Genomic DNA, 22,759 nt, shown 5'->3' with positions numbered 1-22,759 from the left:
ATTTTTAATAGAGACGAGGTTTCTCCATGTTGGCCAGACTGGTCTCAAACTCTTGACCTCAGGTATGTTTGATATATTTCATGATATAAAAAATAAAGTCCTTAACTGCTGGTCCCTGAGATATCATAAACTCTCAGTAAAGGTAAGTTATTATCATGGTAATAATGACAGGGGAATAAGCTTAGTACTACAGCAATGTGGCAGAAAGATTGCTTACTTCTGATTCTCAAATGAGATTTTTTTGGCTTACTTCTTAGATTCAGAGTGGCTCACAAAGAATGTGCAGGATTTCAATAGCTCAATTTGTGATGAAAGTCCCTCTGGCCTGACAATGTCTGTGAGTAAGTATGAGGATGTAGGCTGTGTTTGGGTAATACACAATTATAATCATTAGAAGATAAATATTTTTACCTTGAATCCATAGAATGTCGATGTATATGAAATGTTGGTTATGTGATCCACACCTTTAAAATACCAGTTAATGTGATTTGCATTTGGAATCAGAGCCATCCATCCAGACATATGAGTCAGTCGTTTCTTCTGAAATGGAATAATGCTTGTGCCTATAGGAGAACATAGAACAAGAAAATAATAGTAATCTCTACCTCTAATAAACTCCTCCTTTTGTAAACAAGTGCAAAAGTTAGTTTAGTTTGGTTGGTTTAGCAAATGTTGGTTTAGCAAATATTGGTTTAGTCTATGACAGTCTTTAAAAAGATTAATATGGCATTTCATTACTTATGTTCTAAATGTCTTCGTTTGACTGAAGAACTGAAATGATTAATATTATATTTAACTGGAAAGTAAAATGCTTTCAAACCTGGAATTTTGAATTGAGATGGAGCCTTTATTCCTTAGGGAAAGATACACTTGAAACATTGTGAAATTACAACTGCTAAAACGAAAGTGCCTAAATATATTAATATAATTATTTAAAGGTCATTGATCTAAACATAATTTCATTTTTATTCTTTAAGAACTTAGTTATTCAGAATCCTTGATGTAGAATATATAAAAACATAAGCTCTGATTCTTTATTAGAGTTTTCTATGTCTGTTGAGCTAATTAAAATCTGTACAACACATATTAATGTTTACTAGTAAATAATTTTGTTTGACTTTAATGGTGTTTTGATTTAGAATTATTAAAGAACAAGGCTACAACTAGACCTATAACTTAACACTGATGAAGATATATACATTTTAGGAATACAAACCTTGAACCTGAACTACCTGTTACAGGAAAAACTATATAATTTAGTAATGCTTTGGTCACAAGAGAATGCCTGATAGCTTTAATAGAAGATTTGAAAAGTTCTCTTACAATATAAAGGAAAGGTCTTTCATTAACTGCCTCTATTTTTCTCCCCCTTCCTTTACTTTTCATCTCAGATTGGATTTTATATTAAAGTAACAACCTCTTATTTTAAAAATTTAGGAGGAAGAAGCTAGAAGCAAGATTATAAAATAATCTGTCTGAAATAAGGCCCAACAAAATTCCAAAGCCATGAGAGAAAAAATTCATGATTTTCTATGCTTTATGAGTTAGTATTAATTTTAAAAGATTCATGACCAGAGACACCAAAAACTTTCACTACCAGAAAATCCCGTAAAGTATGAAAAGAACTGTGACTAGTTGGATTATTGTTCAGCAAATATCCACTCCTTTCTTCTCCTTGAGGGCAAAGTAGACTTCCCTGCTTCATTGATCTTGGCCAATGGGACATTAGTGGAACTGACACTAGTAAATGCTTGAAAAGTGCTTGCTCAGTGAGGTTTGACTTCTTAAGCCTCTATCTTCACAAAGAGAAGAGCCTCCTCCAGGTAACTGCTCTCCCTTTGCCTGACACCTGGAACGAGTACATGTGGAGTTACCTGAGCTCAGCCCTTGGGGAGAAGCAAAGCCTTATATTGAAGCAGAGACTTCCAGCAGAGCCCAGCCTAGATCAATCAACCTAGCCTGTGGACACCTAAGAATAAATGATTGTAGGCTTAAGCTATTGAGTTTTGAGATAGTCTGTTGTGAAGCAATGGTTAACATAGAAGAGCTGATTAAAATCATCCAAAACCTCTAGAATTTGCTCCTGGATTTGCAGAACTCAATTAAGTGGAATTCCACTGAATTGAGTTCTTTTCTTTCTTTTTCTTTTCTTTTTTTTTTTTCTTGAGATGGAGTCTCTAACTGTCACCCAGGCTGGAGTCCAGTGGTATGATCTCGGCTCACTGCAAACTCTGCCTCCTGGATTCAAGCAATTCTCCTGCCTCAACCTCCCAAGTAGCTGGGATTACAGGCATGTGCCACCACACCTGGCTAATTTTTCTGGTAGTTTTAGTAGAGGCAGGGTTTCACCTATGTTGGCCAGGCTGCTTTCGAACTCTTGACCTCAAGTGATCTGCCCACCTTTGCCCCCCAAAGGGCTAGGATTACAGGCATGAGCCACCGCACCCAGCCTCCAGTGAAGTTTTCTGATGCTTGGGATTGCATTTAACCTGACATTTCTTAATAATTCAGTTTCACAAGTGAAACAAATTTCCATTTTTTTAAGTTGTGTTTTTCCTAATTTTTTAAGCTGCACTCATTTCAAGTATGTTGGTTTTAAGTGTCTTGGACTGAAATATAAACTCTTTGAAGTTGATATTTTCTAAAAATAGGATCATTAAGAGTTAGTGTCTCAAATTAATTTGCCATCTGGTATAACTTTATACATATATTTACATAAAGATATACCATCATGCATGAGATGCTTTGATAAAGATATATATGGACGTGTGTAAAATTATAGCAAACCCTTACTTCCCACTAATCTAGTATACTTTTTAAACTTTTGTTTCACTCAGCATACATATACAATCAGGACAAGTTATCTTTTTCTGTTTTTAACTTTTAGAAGTAAATAATTTTATTTGACTTTAATGGAGATCAAAGTAGCCAAATGTACTTTACTATACAGTTGATTTTTTTTTTTCACACACAGAAGTAAAATGCCTAGCATAGTGTTTTCTCTAATTTGCAATGTGGTCTGAGTATTGCAACTAATTCCATTTAATTCAACACTTGCTGAGTAGTTACTATTTGCAATGTCCTGCGTTGAGCCTTGCGGCGTCAGAAAGATAAGTTTGTAGATCTGGCCCTCTAGGTATTCACAGTTTAGTAACTCAATAAAAAATCTTAATTCTTGAAGGGAATAGATGAAAGGGTGCAGAGAAACGTGACAAGAAAGCTAAAATGTTATAAATTCAGAAATACCAGATTCCCTGAATCAAAAAACCAGAATATAGACAAATAAGCAAACAAAAGCTCCTTTCTAAAATCCTCACCACCACTAAAAATAACCACAAAAAGAAAGCTTAGAGATTTGAAAGCTTAGATGTTTGAATATTAGTGCTTAAAAATTAATAGTTAAAGGAATATATACTTTATTTTTTTTATGTTTAACTTAATTTTATTCATGCTTGCCTTGGGATGGGGGATAGATCATTCAGTAAAAACATACAGTAAAAACAAAATGTCTTATCATGTACAACTTTTAAACTACAATATGATGTACCTTAATTACTTCCATGCGCACAAGTCTAACATTATTTTTTTTAAAAAATAAACACAATTAAGACTTCTAGGAGCATTTTATAATAAAGTAATTCCTAATTAATTTTTCTTTGTAGATCAAGCACCTCCAAAATACAAATTCCTATATACAGTGAGCACGTTACTTAAAATGAACACTTAAGTAAATTAAGTATGTGGACAGCCTTAGGATAAGCTGACATTATAGATTCAGCTAGGTAGGCAACAAACCATAGTGTCAAATGGAAAAAGTGTATTTGCAAATAAATTTTAAAAACTAAGTTAATTTTTATAATTAAATACAGAAGATATGCTGATTTGCTAAAATAAATAAGATGTGATGTATTAACACTTCACTATAAAGAATGCATACCAGAACATTTGTAAACAGTGAATGAGTTTCATTAAGAACAGTTTACTACAATAAAGGCTGTCTAAATAGAAGCGCATTTTGTGAAGCACTATGGGCGGTATATGTTTTGCCACATACTCTTGTTACCGTGAGGTAGATAACACATGTGAACCAAATTCGGCATTCATTTTCAGTTGCTGCTGGTATCATGTGTTTTAAGAAATGTGTACAGTATGAAATACTTGGAAATACTCATGAATGAAAAATGTCTTAGAAAAAAATAGCTACTTTCATGCAATTATGTACAGTCTCACTGTGTAAATTTCAAGGCAAGGTCTGTTTCCTGTAAAACAGATCATTGTTCTATGAGAGAATGTTCTTTACTTGTCTTTGTGCATTTCTTTTCTCCTCCTGCGTTGCATTATTTTGCTCTAGTCTTTATTTTTGTGTGCAAATGACATGCCAGTTAAAATGAAAACGATCTCACATGTAGAAAAAGAAAGTCTGGATTTTAAAAAAGAAGAACTCATAAAACCCTTACTAAATGACACCATCTGATTCAAGTAAAAAATGACTTAAACACTAGTAATAAAAAAAGACAAAACACATTTCATGAAGAATACAAAGGTAAATGTCTGCTGAGTGTTTTAGTTTAGATGTTTCAGATGCTGCTGTATGTTTGATGAGGAATTTGAGGAGAAGATTTCATCGCAGAAGGTGTTAATGTGGCCTGTATTGACTTAAGTGGTGACCCAACTGGACTGTGAAACTGCGGGATGCCTATGGACTCGAGCTGCTTGTTAAAGAGGAACTCCCCACTGTTGTTCAGAAATCCTTCCTCATTTCTCTCTCCCCAGGCTTCCCATCCTCTACTGGCTCAGTTTCTAGCATTTCAGGATCTTCTTTCCTGCTAAAGAACTTATCCAAGTAACTAGTGTGTTTTCCTTTTCAACTTGTTCATCCTTCCTTACCTCACAAAACTGATTTATGAAAAAACAGTCCTCCCTACCACTCAGAAACTGGCTGTCCCAAGAAGATTGGTACAAGGCTTCTAATTGAACCAGATTTGCCATTCCTTTTTCCTGTTTTTCTCAGCTTACTGACTTTGATATCAAACTTTTCAATTCTAGTTGGGACACTGAGCTATTCAAGTCATTTAATTTATCAACAACATCAGTAGGCTCATGCTGGGAACTAAGCTGAATAGTTCCTGCAATAAAGGAATCAAAATCAAATCCCTGCTTCTTTTCCCTTTCTTTTCCAGCCAGTTGCTGTGATGCTTCCTCTAGCGCTATCTGGGCTTTAACCAATCCATTCCTTTCACATTTTGATTTGCCTTTCTTATCAGTTTTTTCTTTGCTTTGTTCTCTCCAATTGGAAAGATCTATAATAAGCTTGGGTTCATAGTAATGGTTAACTTCACTCTCTCTCCAAACTAAGTTATCTAAATATGATGATGACCTCGTTTTGCAGTTACAAGTATGGCTACACTCCAGATCACAGTATTTGTTTTCATGATGATCTGAGTATTTCCAACAAGGCTCAGTAGAGTAACTGGTATCAAAAGCAGGATCCTCCAGATACTTTTCCCAATCTTCATCCAAATATTTTTGGGGATCAACTTGTAAGGAATATATACTTTATTATGTTGTATATTTAAAATAATTTACTTAGGAAGGTTGCACATGTCTGTGTTTCTGAAAAAGTGTATCTTAAATCATGTTTTAATAAAGTACTAATGTTCAGTTTACTCACAGGTATGCCATAAAGTATGTAAAAGGATGATTAAATAAGAAACTATTCTATGATACAGTAATGGGAAATACTAAAATATCACTTCATTAGATAAAATAATTTCATTTGCTTTTGATGTTTTGGTTACTTTTGTTTCAGTTTTTATTTGGAAGAAACATTCATAGATATTTTGTTTAAAATATTTTATTGTACCACAGACTTTAAAAGTTTAAGTAACATCATTCCATTCTGGACATCTAGTTATCAGAAGAAAAGCAAAGGTTTCTGGGTTTATATTATTAAGGCACTGTGACAGTGGGTATAGCTATTACTCAGATAGCAGGTACATGACCCTTTTAATTCACAGGGGAAAAAAACCTAGAAAAAATGTTTTAAAATTAAATGTAATAACTTATATCATCATAAGGAATGATGGAAGTGGCACTGCACACTTAGGTTTTCTCCTGTAGATCCACTTTTCACCCTTCTCTACCCTGCTCCTTTGCCTTCTAGCTTCTGGTTGGGTTTAGACAGTAAGAAACACAGTAAAGAGAAGAGAGGGAAGGAGAAAGGTGAAAGAGAGGTATTTATTGCCCTGATTCTCACCCTTAGGGAATGTAGGGGGATATTGGTGGGCTCTTGTATCTCTCAACCAAGGGGCACAGCTTCTTTCAGGCAGCCTTCTTCATACAGCTCTGTCTCTGGGTCCATGTAACTGTTCCTTCCCTTCATCTTTTCAGGGCCAGTAATGGTAATAGCATTTTCCCCTTACTAGCTCTTTGAAGAGTTCTATGGTAGCTGTTCTCTCAATGCCAGAAATGCTGGTAGGGGATGGTGCCATGGGATTGGGTTTTTTGATCCCAGTAAGAATAACGGAATCTAAAAGTGGCAGGAGTCAGTGCTTAACCATTAGATATAAAGGTAGGTTTAATTAGCACAATAGTCACTGGGCAGAGGAATCAGAGTGCTCTGAACTGCAGGAATCTGTGATAGCTGATTGATTGATCTTGAGATTCCAAAGATTAGATGAGTAGCATATTAAGGTGATATTTGGTTTGCATATAGGAAGAAAACTAACAGAGGTCTTAAGACGGCAGAAGTCTAACTCAAATTACCTAGGTAGAAATTCACTGCTTCTTACCTATTTTCTAGATCCAAGCCAATTCACAGACCAAAAGCCCCACCACTGAGTGAAAGAGATATGTGGCCGATTATACTAAGGAAAGAAAAATAACCAGACCTTCCATATTATTAGATCCTGGCTCTAAACTGATGCTAATAATCCTCGAAGTCACCAATGCTAACATGCTAACATGGCCCACCAGCCAGAATGGGGGCTTATCAAGGGCAAGTGATGGATGAGTCTTCACTTAGTCTCACAGTGAGACCAGTAGGGTCATGGGGACATATTATGGTTCTTTCTCCAGTTCCAGAATGTACAGTGGAAACAGACATATAAAATCTGGTTTGAGTATTTGCAATATGGTCTGAGTATTGCAACTAATTCCATTTAATTCAACACTTGCTGAGTACTTACTATTTACAATGTTCTGTGATGAGTCTTACGGCATCAGAAATGTAAGTTTGTAGATATTGCCCTCTAGGTATTCACAGTTTAGTAACTAAATAAAAAATCTTAATTCTTAAAGGGCACAGAGAGACTTAACAAGAAAGCTATTATGTCATAAATGCAGAAATACCTGCCTTCCTGAATCATATATAAAATCTAAAAGACTGGCTCCATTTGAAATGAGGGCAGGAGTTGAAATTCTTCTAAGAAATATCTTAATAAGAGAAGCTGACAACATGGAGTGTAATAACAAAATTCCAGCATGTCCTGATGGATTTGACATAAGTAATTTTAGCAGCTGTCATGTGGCTGGTATAATTATGCTAAACACTTTCAAATCTTAATTGGTTTATATTGAGATACATCGTTTAAAATTTTTAAATGGCAAGTCTCTACTTTGTAAATATCATTAAATGGGGGAAATTCAACAATATTGATAGCATTTTAAAGTAACATGAAAGTATTTGCAATACTGATGAGAAATGGTAAATATTGACACTATAAGAGAAAAAATAAGTGCACTTGGATTCTGTTATTAAACTCTTTTTCTATACTTACGATTCCTTATTATGTGTTTAGACCTTGATGATGACAGTTTTCCATATTGCTGTCAAGAAGCTGCATCATTTAGATTTACCCAGAAAATGTAAAAAACCATATTTGATGATGATATAAAGATTTTGTTTAGCAAATCTTTGATTCATCAATGCTTTTTCCATTTTTCAGAATCTGCAGTCCCTCAGAACAGTATATTTTGTGAGAGTGGATTCATTATAAATAGATATTTTAACTAATAATTTCTAGAGAGATGATGGATGGAATGATAAAGAGATAGAGATACAGATCTGAGCCAGTCAGGGTAGGTTAGGTCAGGTAGAGTGAGACTAGGCAGACTTAATAACTGGAAGAATTCCCACACTGGTTCCCCAACTAATGGAGTAGGGTCAAATATAGTAGGAGGAACTATGTGGATACTCTATACTCTAGGAACCATTTTGCCACCTCCTTAATCAAATAAAAGCAAGTTTAAATCCTTGAGTTGGGGCGGGGCAGTGGGGGGAAGGGGGGCGGGGCAGGGGCGGAATGTAGAGATTAGTGCCATGATTGAAGATTTAAGAAACGTGAGATTCAGGATTTTCACCACATCCCCATTTAGTTAGCTTGCTCGTTTGGCTGGTGCAAATGCCAGATGGATTATGAACAATGACAGTAAATTAATGCAACATAATCAGGTAATGATGCCAAGCGTATCTGGTGTTCCAGGTATTGTACCTTTACCGGAACAAATCAGTAAATCCACAATCCCTGGCACCTGTTAGGCAGCTATTAACCTAGTAAATGCTCCCCCATCCCATCTCAATCAGCAAGGACAATCAAAAACATTTGCTTTGAGTGGCAGGAACACTGGTACATTTTTACTTGCTCCAAGGGCTGTGCCAACGCTCCCTCTCTCTGTCATAATATTGTCTGGAGGTTTCTTGATCAGCAGAATATTTCGCTAGCCTCTGCATTTATAAAATGCTTCTCAAACACCTACTTCGAGAGTATTATTTGTTTCCTGCTTGGACTCTAATATAAATGTTATACTTTTTGCAATGTTTGAACAACCAAGTAACAATGCAAGAAGATGATGACAAAAGTTTAGGAAGATATATTTAAATTAGTTGTTTAAACTAATATATTCCACTTACCAAAAGAGTCTGAAAGAACCACATCCTTTTCAAGCAGAGATACTGGAGAAGGCTGGTTGAACGCTAAACGGTGAAAGCTGACTGAAGCATCACAGACTGATCCAGGGAACCCAATGCTCCACTCAGCTTCCTGAGTACAATGAGAAGGGTCTAGCAATGAGCTGTGTGGAATGACGGTATGTCCTTTGTGCCCTGGGAAACAAACAAACAAAATATGTTTTTTATTTCACATTAAGAAACATAAAAAAGGTCTACAATATACAGAATTGTGACCCATAGTACCACTAATACAGTCTAAAAGTCTGGGTAGTTTTGTTTGTTTGCTTGTTTGCATGGAGCAAGAGGATCTCATACAGAAGCTTTGCAGTGGCTCTTTGGTCAGGAATATTATTGTAGATTTAGCTGAAACACAGGGTCTGAAGCACCCATAAGAGTCAAACTTGGAAATGGGAAGTGGGATGAGTAGCCTATTCAAGGACACAGAGGATTTAAATCCAGGTGTTATGACCATAAAGCCTTTACTCGAAACTAGTAGACTACCAATTAACATTAAAAACTTAAACTGAATTAAGTAAATCAATAAACATTACACAAAGCTTTATATATCAAAGGCATCCAAACATTCTCCCTCTTTAAAGTTACGATTATACTTGAAACAGAAGTTAACAACTGTGGTTGAAAACTCAACTTTTGCATTTGAATTTTGAGATGAATCTTCTTTCATCCTTCAGAGTCTTTCAAAAGTAAATCATTACCATCTATAGGTTTACCTGTCGATTGACTCACAAAGTATGAGGCACATATCCTCGCTATCTTATTTAGACAGATTTTTTATCATTTACAATTTGTAAAGATGCTAAATTCTAGAAATCATGAATGTTTATGAAATATTGAAAATGTGACATACTCTGAACTTGAAATGCTAAAAAAATTTAACCTACAATGTATATGGAATTTTGTTCTTTTGGTATTCTTTGAATAAATTACAAATTTAGGATTTAGATTGGAATAAAAGGGTTCACAGCTGGTTTGTGACTTATTTCTTCTCTTAAAAGTATTTTCGCAAGGATAGATACAGTCTGTCTATATTGCTTTTGTAAATAAGCCTGCAATTTATATGTTTCTGGAGCATGACTGGCTGAAAAATTAGGGTAGTGATGTAAGCAGTTTCTTATCTGTGCAATTAACTGAGTTTAAAATGGAGGCATTCTAAAACTGAAATGGTTTCCTTTTGTGATCAATGTTTCCATGAATATTGCCCAAAATTTTCTGTTAATTTAAAATCAATGTGCCAATGCAGGAGAAAAAGGACATATTTGGAGGCTGTCTCTGACAGATTGGGGCTCTTCCAGAAACGAATGTCTCATCTGTGCCTGGTGCTTGCCTCTATCATTTAAATTATTAGTAAAGTTTGCTATTGGGTAAGATCTGTAAGGCACCTAAGTCTGCTTTAACAATTCAATTCTGTGCTAACACAAACATATTTCCAATGGATTTTTATCACAAATTAAAAAATAACATTACCTGTAAGTGAGCCATCAACATCAATCATTACCATTTCATGTTCCCAGCGAAAGCCAGCCTTGTTCGGTGTGTGAGAATACTGGACGTCAACAAACTTTGCACTCCAACCCCCACATCTGTCATTACAAACTCCAGAGATGGATGTCACTCCCAAAGCTACACAGTTGGGACGGTCAAAGTTCATAAAGTGCACAGAAGAGACAGTCAAGCCTTCACTAAATGGGAGAACCAGGCCTTTTGCTGTGCAAAATGCAGACCCCATTCCCAGTTCATCAAGATGGCCGACTATTTTGGCATTTTTAATCACCGCTCCATTGGTTTCACCCCACCCTCCAACATAAGGAGCCAGGATCCTCTTAGTCTCAATTCCAGCCTCATAGTTATTCACCATCACAAAGTTATGGAACTGAAGGGCACCTCCATTGACCCATTCAGCTCCTTTTTGACAATTCCAAGTAGTAAGTGAGTTAAATATTGCAGGTGCAGGCACTGTAGATGTACAAGATCCCGTTTGCATGGGGAAATATTCCTCAAAGATCCACATTCCAAACCAACCTTGAGAATGGACAGTATTGTTAAAAAATTCGCCAAGGGGAACTCTTTTTTGACAAATGTTTCTGTCATAGGATGGCCCATCAGGGTGGTTGTTCATCCGGTACCAAAAGCCAAAGTGAGTGCCACCAGCAACAGCATTGTGTCGTATGGTATTGTTCGGGTTGGTGACCCAAAATGCAGCCGGGGTCACATCATCATTCAGAAGACTGGTACTTTGCTGTACAAATACTGCCAAGTTATACTGGAGGATATTGCCATGTTCAATACCATCTTCTATAAAAAATGCTCCTCCCTTAATATCATATATAATATTCCTCTCAACCAGAAGATGGTGTGTGTTATGAATAGTAACAGCTCTGTTATAGGCCTGGTGAATTGCACAGCCTCTTACATAAGATTTAAACTGTAAGTCTCCAAGCAGGTGCCAATGTATTGGATATCGCCCCAACCGGAAAGCCTGGCCAGCATGGAATACCTGTTAAGCCCAGAAATCACAGTTATTTAGTAATAGCTCAGATGTTGAGCTCATATTTTCTTGTTTCAAAAAATATCTAATTTTATATTATTATTAATATATTTATTTCTTCCAAATTTTTCATGTTTATTATTTGAAAATGTTATTGAACCCCCAACCCACCATGTTTTATACAATGTATAGCAGACCACACTTATTACAAAATGAATGAAAGAATGTAAAAAGCCATCTTTGACTCTTCTGCTTTTTGCCTTGGTATATTAGTAAACTTTTGTGTTTTAGGAAATAAAACATCTTGAAAGACTTCTTTTCCTCTTTTACTTTACTTTGCTTCTTATGTAATAACAAGAAACATTTCTTGAATGTTTTATGTGTGCCAGGTGTTGTGCTCTTTTGCATGCATGATCCTAGTCTTTGCCATAATCCCCTAAAGTAGGCACTTACCATTGACTTTATTTTACAGATTAATAAATGGAAGTTTAGAAAGGCTGAGCATCTTGTTTATGGTTACAAAGTTCCATTTAAACCCAAGTTGGTCTAACTCTAGAGCTGGTGCTCTTAATCACCCTGCTGTGCATTCTTTCAAATGGTCTATGATTTAATAATTTAATACAGAGGATACCAGTGTGTCTGTGTGTGTGTGTATGTGCGTGTGTGCATGCATGTGAGCATATAATCTCATGGGGTAAGGAAATAAAACGTTACTTCCTCTATTTTTGTTGTCCATCTAAAGCTAAAAATTAACCATTATTAATATTCAATATCCAGATCAACCTAGCAATCTCAGTCCATATTTGAGATGTCACATGTAACATATCTCAGGAGGAGGGAAGTTTACAAAATGGAGGTGCTGACTGTGTCACCATCAATGCAGTCGAGGTGTGCCTGGTTTAATGGATTTATGGATTTTATTATCCCTTCCTCCCTCCCTTCCTTCCTTCTGCTGAATACATGATAAGAACTATGCCAAACCGTGATTATACAGCCTGAATATAAATAAGATACACAGGAGTTTCTAGTGTCATAGGGATAACATGCATATTTATGTATTTGTTTAATTTATAATCAACTGAGAATCTACTATATGCCATGCATTGTTCCAGGGAATCAGCAGAGAACCATAAAGACAACATCTGTAAAATAATAGAGCTTATGTTCTAGAGGAAGAGGTTGAAAATAAATAAAAACAGATATCCTATTAGGAGTTATGTATAAATAAAGTAAACAGGAGTTTGGGTGGCAATTTTAAATAACAGTGGTGAGAAAAGTCCTCTCTGGAGCGATAACCCTTGTCAAAAGATCTGACTGAAATTAGGGTGTCAGCCATGCAAGTATTTGGTGGAGGAGGATTCCAAGCAGAATGAAAAGCAAGTACAGGCCAGGCGCCATGGCTCATGCCTGTAATCCCAGCACTTTGGGAGACCGAGGCATGTGGATCACAAGGTCAGGAGATCAAGACCATTCTGGCCAACATGGTGAAACTCCGTCTCTACTAAAAATACAAAAATTAGCTGGGTGTGGTGGCATGCATCTGTAGTCCCAGCTACTCAGGAGGCTGAGGCAGGAGAATTGCTTGAACCCTGGAGGTGGAAGTTGCAGTGAGCTGAGATTGCGCCACTACACTCCAGCCTGGCAACAGAGTGAGACTCCATCTCAACAATAAATAAATAAATAAATAATGAAAAGCAAGTACAAAGGACCTGAGATAGGAATGTGCTTGACATGATCACATAAGGAGTCCTCTATGACTAGCATGGCACGAGCAAGGCATAGGGTCGTAGGAGATAAATCAGACGGTATCTCTGGGTCAGATCACATGATTCCTATGGGATGGACTTGGACCTGTTGTTTTACGTATACCATGAAGCCACTGAAGGATTTTGAAGAGGGGTGTAACAAGATCTGATACATGGTTTTAAAATTTTACTTTGACTGAAGTGTGGAAACTCTATTAGAGCAACGTGGGAGCAGGAAGACCAGGTAGGAGAAAATCACAGCAGTCCAGGTGGGAGGAGATAGTGGCTCAGGCACAGGATCAGGTGGAGGTATGGAAAGAGACTGGATTCTGGTTACAGCATTTTGTGGGTAGAGAAGATAGAAATGCTGATTAATTCGATTCGAGGTGTGAGAAAATTTGAGAAACAAAATTTTGGCATGATCAAATGGGTGTATTAAAATTGTTTACTTATGTATCTGTCTCCCCTACCAGATTATAAGTAGCATTGACAAACAGCAGGAGTTCAACACACATTTCTTGTATGGATAACCTTGAGCAAACCACTGTGATTTAGTAATAATGCCTCTCACCTCTACATATTCTATTCTCCCAGTTACCATGTTAGCACCAGGTACAGGAGCATGAAACATAACGCAGCCTCCAAATTGGTCACTTCCTATTTCTTCTCCAAACTTTCCTTGGAGACAGGTCTGTGTAGCAAATTCTCCTTCAAAACAGTTTTTAAAGCATCATTAAAAAAATTGTCGGAATCCTCTTATATTGAAGATTTTCTCATAACTAAGTGTATCATTTGATTCACATATGATCTCAACCTCATCCTAGAACATAGTTATTTGCATTCACATCATTTCCTCTTTTAGATAGCAAGATAGGTAAGTACCTTGTCTTGTTCAACTTTGTATTCCCTAAAGTACTTATACAGTATTTTTCAGAGAAGATACTAAACAAATATTTGAATGATCAAGGGAATATTGATAATGGGATTTAGTTTTATTATTTATGAAGCCTTCCCCAAGATTTGAGGATTAACATAATCAATGCAATTTTATATTTGTAGAACATGAGAATATGCATTATGTCACTTACTTTTTTACAACCATAGTAAATAGAACAGGAAGTATTCTTAATTTAAATGGATGAAACTAGGTTTCATGTACATTGTGATAATTGACGCAGATGAACTGATGAACTGGAATGAGAACGTAGCTCATTTGACATAAAATCCCATGGGCTTTGTCTTATACTTCCTTTTGAAGAAAAGACTATTATTTAAGCTGCATCAGTTATTGTTCAACTACTTATAGTATTGTAATGATATGAATGATTACATAAAAAATTTAAAAGAGACATGTAAGATGCATTCTGCTTCCTGCTATAGATATGAGAACTGTGATATAAACATCACTAAAATTCACCAATATCCATTTCCCTTCTATTTCTGGGTATATGGGTTTTGCACTAACTCACTCTCTTCAAGTTAGGCATAGCCATGGAATCAGTTCTGACCAATGACCCTTGAGTATAAGAGACACCTGTCACTTTGAGACCAAAGCAATGAGTTGCTAGTGCTTTACTTTCCAGTAATCTCATCTCCTGCCTCAGACATCACAGAAGCCCGTGCTGAGATAGATCCTTCATAAGCCTGGATCCCAAGGCAATTATAATGAGAAGAGCCCACCTGTTGACCCATATGGGACACATGTAGCATGAATGGGAAATAGACTTTTATATTTTAAATCACTGACATTTTGGGCTTGTTTGTAAATAGAGCATAACCTAGTCCAGTGTTTCTTAACTGAGGCCAATTTTGCCCCCAGGGAACATTTCTGCAAAGTCTGGAAACACTTTTGGTTGTCACAGTTGTTAGAGGAGGCTACTAGAATTTAGTTGGTAGATGCCAAGTGTGCTGTCAAACATCTTGTGATGCACAGGACAGTGCCCCACAGCAGAGAATTATCTGGGCCAAAATACCAACAGAGCTGACTTTGAAAAACTCGGACTTAGCCTACCCCCACTGGCTCAGATCTATATATCTATAGATTTTCCCCCCATCATTCCATCTATCCATTTGTCTGTCTATCCATCATCAGTCTAGGAATTAATTAAAATATCTTTTACAGTAAACCCACTCTCACACTGTTCTGATAAACTGCAAATTCTGGAAAATTAAAAAAGCTCTGACAGTCAAGGATTTGCTAAACAGAATCTTTGTATCACTATCAAATATAGTTTGCCATATTTTCTGAGTAAATATAAATAATGCAGTTTCTTGCTGACAATATTAAAACTAATCATCAAGGTCTAATCTAAACATAATAATGAATCATAATTATAGGAAGATAATTTATCAACAGAATCCAAGTGCACTTATTTCTCCCATTATAGTGTCAGCATTAACCACTTTTCTTCAATATATTCAAATATCTTCATGTTACTCACAAATACTATCAGCATTTCCAAATTTCCACATTTAATTATATTTATAAGATATTTAATGGTATCTTATAAGATTAATATCATTAAATTATATTTAATGATATTTACAATGAAATACATTGAAATAATGTATTTCAATATAAACCAATTAAATTGTAAAACTATATGGCATGATTATACCAACCACGAGAGCTGCTAAAATTACCTGTGTCAAATCCATCAGGACATGCAGGAATTTTGTTATTCCACTCAACATTATCAGATCCTCTTATTAAAATATTTCTTGTAAGAATTCCAACTTCTGCTCTTGCTTCAAACAGAGTTCCATCAGGGAGTGTGACCGTAATTCCTAAGTGTGTGTAATTTAGTGGGTTACTTAGTGTTATGTTTATGCCATCAGCAGACACAGATGCAATGGTCATTTTTTCATTCTCTCCTTGACTGTGTCTGTAAAAATTTTGACAAAAAAATTTTAAAATTAATATAAATTGACATAACATATTGTTTTGGTATATTTGTTTTATTCATTTTAAATACTCTGCAAAATAGGAAACTATTCTTATGTCATATAATATTCTGAACAGAAATTAGAAAAAATATTTTATTCTTGCTTGATTAACTAAGTTTTACAAATATATTCAATTCAATGAAATATTTTTCAAGGTCTACATTCGTTCCTAGAACTGGATTAGCTTATAAAAAGTATTTGGAAAACTATTCATTTATAACTTGGAGGATCATACTCAGTGGTTCTCAATTGAGGATGATTTTATTCCTCCCAGGGGACATTTAGCAATGCCTGAAGACACTTTTGGTTGTTACAATTGGGGGCTGCTACTGGCATCTGGTAGGTAGAGACCAGGGGTGTTTCTAAGCATCCCATGATACACAGGATTTCCCCAACATAACAAAGATTATCTGGTCCAAAATTTCAGTCATGCACAAGTTGAGAACCTTTACAAGGGAGAGTCACTGAAGGTTCCTGAACAAGGAAAAGAAATGATTGAGTTGAAGCTTAGGAGGTCTCGTTTTTACCATTCCTCCAAATATACCCCAAATTCCAGCCACAGCAGAAGGGATTTGCCAGTTCTATAATGTACACATTCATGCATTTAGTCATTCAACAAACATTTATTGAGGTTCTAACCTGCATTTTAGGCATAGAACTAAGCACTGGGGATACCAAGTAGAAAGTTTCCCTGATTTTAAGGAGACAAGTGTGTCAATGCTTGATTGTATAATATATTATCTACTAAAGTGTGATTGCTGCTGTTAACAAAGGTAAGCCTAAGGGAGTTACCTCTGTGTTTTCCCAACATTTTCTTTTTACCCTTCCCTCCCTTGACAAATCCTTTTACTCCTTTAAATGCCAGTGCAAATGACAGTGTCACATGTGAAATAGATTCAAAGCAGCTCTCTCAACTTTCCCAACCCTACTTCTGCATTCTCAATACACTCTGCATAAAGCTCTGTTAGTGCTCAGAGCAACAACGCTGCAGTCCTATGAGATATCTACCTTTCTGTCCCTTCCACTGACTTGTCTGCTCTTCTAGGCATGACACCCATTGAAATCATTTTATATGCTGAGCACTTAGTACAGCACCTGTCACAACTCAATAACGGTTTTGATTGATTGAACAAATTAATGCAGAATGAATTCGTGGGGGGAAGAAAGTGGAATGGAGCCCAAAGAGGAAGATGATGTAATATTCCAGGTGTGAGAGGCTGAGAATCTAAATCAAACTGAGAGCAGAGAAAGCTGAGAGACATGCCAAGGGCAGACCAAAAGAACTTGGTGATACAAAGGAAATAATGAATGATGATAATTAGAAGGTCACTGAAAAAGATTTGTGAAGAAGAAAACTAGACTATAGGTGTTTAAAGAAAGAAAACAAAGGATAGTAAGGATAAAATAGAAGAAATGAGCATATAATATTTAAGCAGTTTACAACTCTAAAATAAAGGATTAAAAAAAGAAAGATGCTACAGGAGACAGGAGAACAAAGCTGTTTATCAAGACAATGGGTGGATGGGGACAAGAATCATTCCAAAAGATAGAGGGAAGAAATTGTGGGGGAGGGGCAAGGAGAGGTGGAGATTAAGGATGCTTAGAGATAAGGGCGAACCAGTGGTACAAGATCTCACAGGCGGTATGCAAAAAGGCCTTAGATTAGCCTCTCTTGAATTTTCCTGGATTCGGATGATACAATGATTTCTTTAGAAAAGAAGTTGTGAAAAGCATTTTCATATGTTGTATGTACCTAAACACATCTTTCCTTCCTTTGTTGTAATATAACAACACTAAGTGTTAATAAGCACTTAGTTTGAGCCAAGTTCTGCTTTTACTGCTTTACACTTATTAACTAATGTAATCCTTACTAATACCATTCCAATTTTACTGAAGCACAGAGAAGTAAAATAATATAACTACAGAACTAGTAAGTGGTATTGCAGGGAGCTAGACAGAGACAAACTGACTTTTGAAGGCATTTTCTTAACCACTGGCTTTGCAAACTCTCAAATAGGATTTATCAATGACACAGTGAACAATTAGATTTGGTGGGAAACTCCTTAATTCTTGTTTCTGAAAACTAAATAGCCCTATTCTAAACCCTTTCATTTCATACAAAAAGCCATAAATGAAGATTTTCTATGCTGTTAGTAACCCCTATCATTTTCCTGCTTTTTAATTTTGCCATTATATAATTAAAATTTCTTCCAAGGGCAGAACAAAATGAGCACTAAAGCTAAGTATATATTTAATTCTTCCTAATAACTGCAAGTCTATTTTTAACATGGAATATGGCAAACTCAAAATGCCATCTTGAATTTTAAATTTAAGTTGTATCATGGCCTTAACACAATTTAGCTGTTTCTTATAAATCACTGTTCATTTCCTAATAATCACAACCATATTCAATTTTACTATTATCTATAATTTGAACAATAAAGCAAAAATAATGCTCCTCTTGCCCCTACCCAGGTGATACTTGGTGGTGTTATGTTAATTTTCTTTCTTTTATGTCTTATTTGCTAAAAAATGTAATTAAACAGAAATTAAGGGTCATAAGTAGTTTCGGTTTTAAAATAACAGGCACCTAAAAGGTTATGTGAATCATCACTTTTTGTATAATTATTTCTTCTCTTTTATTTATTCATTATTAACGATTTTGCTCAGTGGGAACCATTTGCTAAGGCTGTAAGATAAGAGAGTTCACTAGCTGCTTTCAAACATGTTCTTTGGTGACCTCCAACTAAGAAGCTCATTTACATTTTTGCATTCATTAAGGTATTTATTTAAAACTCTAAGATATTTCCAAATGACTTTTAGTAGTCAAACACTTCTTTTTTCCAAATAGATTCTTACATGGGAGCCAAACCGTGTAAAACATACATTTTACTAGGACATAGTTATTTCATAGGTTCGAATTTATGTTTTTTCTTATTGTAAATCTATCAATTATAATGCAATACAAATGTGATCAACCTAATGTTAACACTTGGCAAATCTGTATTTGGCTGTTCATATTTCTTTATTAGAGATTTCAAGTTTAAACCAAATAGTCATGCACCATCTGAATTGTCCCTCTTTATACAGTATAAAAATTTCTTTTCTAAATACACATCATTAAGCCCAGAAGATATCATACCTGTGTCCTGTGCTTGCAATTACAATGTTATCTCCTGGTTTCCATGTTACTGCTTCTTGTAAAATTAAAATTCTTTCCCCTGCCTTTGCAGTATGAGCCAAGCGAGTCCAGGTCACAGGAACAGGCACACCTAGAACCAACATACACACTGAGTATTTCCTTACATGTGTTTGATTTGTTATTGAGAACTTTATACATTTTAATCTTTTCCTAAATTGAATCAATGTTGGAGAGGCTCATTTTACCTTAGCATTTCACACATTTCTCCAAAAAGAAATATGTAGAATGCTTGCTTTATAAAAGTAACAATTGTGTTTGTAATGACATGTATATGACTATAAAACTTTTCAAAAATATTCTTCTGCAATGATATACCCTATTTATAACCATCTTTTTTTACAGGGACACAATGTAAATGGGGTGTGATAATATTGACAAAATGAGCAAAAGTCTATTGTCTTTGTCATTATTGGTAGGAATTTCTTAAACTAATAATCTAGAGTCAAATGTAGATTTTCTAAGAAATTACATAGTATATATATATTGAGCCCTATGTAGGACTTTTATGATAATAAGGTATCATGTTTATGGTATTCTAAATTTATAAAGGGGATAGATTATTGCAATGTGGAAGACGTCAATATAAAAAAGATTCACACCATGCTTTCTTTAAATAGTATGTTGCCCTGGTACCTCAAACATGATCAAAATCATTTTTACTTGCTGACAAGGTTCTAGGATATAGTTATAGAAATCCACAACTATAAATCCCTTGTTATATTTTAGAGAGGCCCCATTTTCAGATACAAATTTAAGAAATTACATTCTTCTGTTTCTAGACTTAGTCTTTTTATATATATAAATACATAAAGTAAACAGGCAATCACAGACAGGTACTACGGTTAGTGTAAAATGAAACGAGAAGAGCCTGGAGGCTCATGGAAAAGGGGAAGAGGAGGAATGTAGAAAAGACCCAGAAAGGCTTTCCCAAGTGTGACCTTGGTTCTGAGTTTTTTTGGTTTTGTTTGTTTGTTTGTTTTGTTTTGTTGACACAGAGACAGAGTCTCACTCTATTGCCCAGCCTAGAGCGCAGTGGTGTGATCTTGGCTCACTGCAGCCACCATCTCCTGGGTTCAAGTGATTCTCCTGCCTCAGCCTCCTAAGTAGCTGGGCTTACAGGTGTGCACCACCATGCCTGGCTAAATTTTGTATTTTTAGTGGAGACAGGGTTTTGCCATGTTGGCCAGGCTGGTATCAAACACCTGGCCTTAGGTGATTCACCCGCTTTGGCTTCCCCAGGTGCTGGGATTACAGGTATGAGCCACCGCACCTGGCCTGGTTCTGAGTCTTGATGTCTGGGCTAGCCTGGCTTGGATGTGGGAAAGAAGGAAGGGGTAAAGAGGGGATATCTAAAGACATGAGAAGCCTAACACACTTTCACTTTATCACAGGATAAATTATAATTATCACAGGATAATTATCCCTGGTGTCCTGGTGAGTCTTCCTCTACCAACTCCCTTAGCCACTTGGCCACAGTACCGTGCAGATCCAGGATTCCCTCCCGCACAGCCAGTGTTTTGGCACCATAGACAGGGAGCTCAGGAGATCGCAGGTGACCATGCAAGGTAATGACAGCCTTGTGTTGGAATGGGGATGTCTCTGTTCCAATCTGCAAAAGATGTCACAAATGCCATTCAGAAAATTAAAACCCCAAATCCACAATTCTAATCACACAAAAGTAGTTCTTTTCTATCCTCTCTTCTCTTTTGAGAATTAATTGCTCAGTTGTTCATATCTTTCTTTTGAAAGATAAACCTTTAATTTTCTAGTCAGCCAAATAAATACACTATGCCAGACCTTTGAAAGGTATACTGATTGACTTTAGCCACATCTCAGAGTTAATTCTTTCCTGTTCTATTTTAAATTCTGCTCTATGGGAATATAAACTACTATCTTCCCATTAAAAACACAAGATTCTGGGAAACTTTTCTCCTTGCATAAAGGATTTTATACCAATAACAGAGACCTAAACAAAGATAAACTTAGGAGAGGTTGATATAATTAACTATCCATTTTACACATAGTATTTAAAAAAATGAATGGAGACAGGTTGGAAATGAATATGTATTATGTTCTTTTGAATACCTGAAGAACACCTCCATCTGTAATTAGAATATTTTCTGCCTGGAGTTCAATGTCAGCTTCATCAAATATTAGAGTCCCACCTATGAATCATACAATTTTGAAATACATCACAAGGAAAAATCTTGTTAAAAGTTACCTATTAAATTATTCATTACAATTTAACATAATTATTAAATTATACATTAAATTAAAATTTAATTCCTCATTCATGTTCTGCTGTTGTTATGCATATAACTTCACTTCAGTTCTTTGGCAACATAAAAGCATAAAAACTCCAGACAAGACCATGGGAGTTTACAGAAAATCAAATCCCAGGGAAGATTATTTTCCCTTGAACATTGGGAAAGTAGCTTATTTTAGATGCTACTAAATAGCTCAGCTATGCAAATTCGTTGTACAAACACAGCACCTCAAAATATAAATTAAGAACAAAAGCAATTAAAGAAAAGCATGTTTATAAAAACCATTATAATGTCAACATTAGCTTTGAACTTTTACCCATTAATTTGCACTCTCAACAGCTATAGCCTGATTAGCATTATTAAAGATCATACCAAGATACATTTTTATGAGACTAGTGTAAATTTATAAATTTGTAAGTAGTAAAATTTTATTTGTCCAAAGGTCCAATATTTAATAACTTCAAAAACCTGAAACTTTTCTATTTTCCCAGAAGTTAAAAATAGTAAATAACAATGCAGGAGTCTTCCGGTGGCTAAGCCTGTTATGGCAAAGTTTGTGCACTAAATCCTCAAGCAGTCTACTCTTACCAATTAATGATTCTTTTACATGCAATTATCACAGTTGTGGTTATTTAGTTTTCCATAGTAAAAAATAAAACACAGCAGCAGAGACAAACCCAGGCAACAACATAAACAGGTTCACAGGCAAAGGTGAAAATCACAACCTATCTTCCAAAGGGAGTCAAGGGGATCATTTAGGATAGACCTGAACAAATCTCGATGACTTTTTATTTCCTGGGACCCACTACATCAGTGTTTTTCAAAGTGGAAAATACCTTTTTTGTTGTGATCTAGTGAAAGTGGGCGGGCATGCTCACACCTCCCCACATTGTTATTGAACCAAAAGTTTCATAAAACAACATTTAGCTTTAAAAGGTACTTACCCATATGCATGCAATCTATTCTGATGCTGTCTATCCTATTTAATTTTTAAAATGCTGGCTGCAACACATTAAATAATATCATAATCACAAATGGATTGTAATACTCAATTTAGAAAGCCCAGGACTACACTGTATATTAAAAAGATAGTGCAACTATGTTTGTTCATAATTGTGGATTTTGATTAAATCAGTTTCACAG

At 35.6% G+C, this 22,759-nt stretch overlaps 1 protein-coding gene and 1 pseudogene across 7 annotated transcripts in view; both read right to left on the bottom strand.

The window, feature by feature from the left end:
- The window catches only part of PKHD1L1 (PKHD1 like 1), a 174,747-nt gene that overhangs the window by 61,527 nt on the left and 90,461 nt on the right, over positions 1–22,759 (bottom strand). For all 7 annotated transcript variants that reach the window (NM_177531.6, XM_011517371.3, XM_017013971.2 and 4 more), the window contains 8 exons: positions 21,435–21,514; positions 20,829–20,958; positions 19,290–19,419; positions 15,845–16,086; positions 13,773–13,909; positions 10,436–11,465; positions 8,912–9,103; positions 412–563 (listed from right to left, as the gene is read on the bottom strand). In NM_177531.6, the coding sequence (NP_803875.2) occupies positions 412–563; positions 8,912–9,103; positions 10,436–11,465; positions 13,773–13,909; positions 15,845–16,086; positions 19,290–19,419; positions 20,829–20,958; positions 21,435–21,514 (2,093 nt within the window). The remainder of the gene's footprint in view (positions 1–411; positions 564–8,911; positions 9,104–10,435; positions 11,466–13,772; positions 13,910–15,844; positions 16,087–19,289; positions 19,420–20,828; positions 20,959–21,434; positions 21,515–22,759) is intronic.
- On the bottom strand, positions 3,427–5,543 carry MAPK6P5 (mitogen-activated protein kinase 6 pseudogene 5; annotated as a pseudogene).

Source organism: Homo sapiens, chromosome 8 (assembly GCF_000001405.40).
Source record: "Homo sapiens chromosome 8, GRCh38.p14 Primary Assembly".
NCBI lineage: Eukaryota > Metazoa > Chordata > Mammalia > Primates > Hominidae > Homo > Homo sapiens.
This window is presented reverse-complemented; position numbering and strand designations above follow the sequence as displayed.